Genomic DNA, 2,927 nt, shown 5'->3' with positions numbered 1-2,927 from the left:
CATCCCACATTCCCTATTTTCAGCACAAGCCTGCACTGTATTTCGGATCCAGGTGAGAAGATGATGATTGCTCCAGTGCAGGAACACTGCACCAGGCAACTGCACTGGCTTGGCTAGAGGCACTAGCCAGCTGCTGACTGTTGGTGGGAGTATCCTGCCCTCTGCTGGATTTGGCGGGAAACATGAATTTGCATTGCCTGCTAAAGAATTAAGGCTGAAAGCTTTTAGAACTGAAAATAAATATTTGCTTGTGTGTTGATGAGGTTTAATTAACTTGGGAATGCATTCCTTAAATGACATCGGGATTCTCAGGTAATTTCCAGGTGTCAAGGAAAAAAAATCGTTTTATATCATATACAGACCTCCTGTTCAGTAAATTTGGGTGCATAATATAAAGTGCCAGCATTTTGTTCTGTAAAGAATAAAAGTTGCATCTATAATAATTCTTAAAGTGTTCACATAGTGTTGTAATTTGATGAAAGAATAACAAGAGTGCAGTTAGACTGTTGGGGTTTATATATTAATTCTGCAAGATACTGAATCTCTCTGAGACTCGGTCTCTTTATCTGTAAAAAGATGCCATACTCATCTTGAAGGGTTGCTGTGAGGATCAAGTGAACTAAGAATATTTACAGGAGCACTTTACTATGCCCACTAAAAGTATGTGGTTTTAAACATACATGCTATTCACAGGTTAAATTATTGATTTCCCTGTTTATTTTGAGTAAAACTGAAAAACAGACATCAATGTTTCAAATCTAGATAATGACAGGACTCTTCCTAAAATACTGAAAGAGATCAGCAGCCCCTAATTTTTGCAAGAGCCTTTGAAGATGGGACAACTTTTTACTAAGTAGTATTTATCTCCAATTGCTGGTCATTCTGTTCTGTGCAATCAAGAGAAATGTCTCTATTTCTCACTTTCATAAAGAGAAAAATGGCAGAACCTAATTCTAAGGATAATGTTTTCCAGCAGCCATTGCCTTGGTTTCCTCTCCTTCTTTTCTCTTTTTGATCCTTCCCTATCCCTTTATTCTGTTCTCTTCCTATGTAAGTTGAAATCAGAAATAAGCAGTTTCAGCTGGCATTGTCATTGCTGTTGATGTTTAGCTGTTTCTCATCCTCCTGTAGAAGTTCCACAGGTATATAGTTTTCCCTTCAGTGCTATTATATTTGGAGTAGATAGAACATGGCCCAGGCTCTGAAGTTTTTTGCCATCTAAGGTGTGAGAAGCTGAGTAATAATGGTATTATTAATGTAGCACCTCTCTAATAAAAATAATAGATCTGTTTTCAACTTAATAATTTATTTAATTGATTTTATTCTCTTCATTAACAGCTCTGCTTAATAAAAAGATTTTTTAAAATCCAATTTGTGCAACCAGCTGAAGAGTAAACCCAAGTAATTGATCACCTTGCCAGCCTCAGTAAATGCTATATTGATGTGTTTTAGGAAATCCACGTTCAACAAAGATTTATACTAATTGCTGAAGATAAGAAGGAATAAGATATGATCTCTATACATGATATATTTTGGGAAGAAATTGGCTAAGAAGATATCATGTGCTCTTGAAGAATGAAGTTTTTTAAGTAGAAAAGGTGGGTGTGCGTGTGTGTGTGTGTGTCTGTGTCTGTCTGTCTGTCTGTCTATTGAAGCTGGGTGGGGGCAGGCTTCAAGACAGAGGGTACCAGGTAAGCATCACATACTGTTATGAAAACCTATGCTGTGGCCAGAGTGATAAGGAGGATGAAGATGAGGCTGAGGCTGGAAAGGTACTTTGGGGCCAAAGGAAGGTGCTACTTAACTGCTAAGATGTGGAGCTTGAATTTCATGGGGTATGTGTGTTAACCAATACATTTGAATGTTGGATCAATATTATACCTCCATCATATTCTGGTTCATCAGAGAAGTATTTTTTAGGGAGGAATGTTGGGTTTTAAGTGGCATTATAGTTCTCTACAACTTTAAAAATATATGTAAATTTCTGAGTGAGAACCACAACAGCCTCTATGTTCAGTCCAAACTAGGGTGGGTTAGTGATTCCCTGTGTAACCCAGGGTTCCAGGTTTTTGGGTATGCACTGTGAGGAAATCCCCACTTGTGTCTGTTGTATCTTGAGTTCTTATTTCAAAAATCTCTGGGAAGAAGCTCAGCCCTGGAAAAACTAAAACTGGCTGGATCCAGAGATGCCTGAGTTGGAGAGGAACTTTGGCCAACTCTCCTCATTAACCATAGTAAGAAACCTTGCTCAGGGAGAAGTTTATTTGCCATTTTCTGTACATGCAATGTATGTAGAAGCATGATCAGCAGGCGACTGCACTGCCTTTATGCCACTTCCACATACAATGACTCAGCTAACCAGCCTAGTACAAGTCCTGCTTTTACTGTTGTTCCTGGAGGCACTGCTTTGGGAAACTATCCCAGATGTCCTCCTTCCTTGTTGCAAATAATAAAATCTCCCTCTTAAATACTCCATGGTTGTGCTCATTGGACTGTCTCCTGCCTAGCAGTTTAACCCACCTGTTGTGTGGGTAACACCTCAACAGACTAGAATCCTTAGCTTGCATCTTTAAAAGACAACAGCTTGAGTCCCTTTCAATTCATCAAAAAGCCATGCATTTTTTAAAAGCAGCCACCAGCCTCTTTCATCCAGTTAGTCTTAGACAACCATCTACTCTAAAATATCTGGAGTCCGATGCCTAAAGAATAATTTAGAAACGGCATCAACCCCTTTCTATATCTGACCTGCCATTTTGTCACATCAAATAAAAGAGAGATCATAAAAAGACCCGTGGATAAAGGCTGTCTGCATCACCAAACATGCTTGCTCATCTAATTAATGATTTAAAAAATACAGATTATTTATATAAACTATTTGGCACCATATTACTGATCTTAACTCCCCTTATTCACTATAGCAATTCCAC

The sequence above is a fragment of the Homo sapiens genome, chromosome 2 (assembly GCF_000001405.40).
Source record: "Homo sapiens chromosome 2, GRCh38.p14 Primary Assembly".
NCBI lineage: Eukaryota > Metazoa > Chordata > Mammalia > Primates > Hominidae > Homo > Homo sapiens.
Note: the sequence above shows the minus strand (reverse complement) of the source record.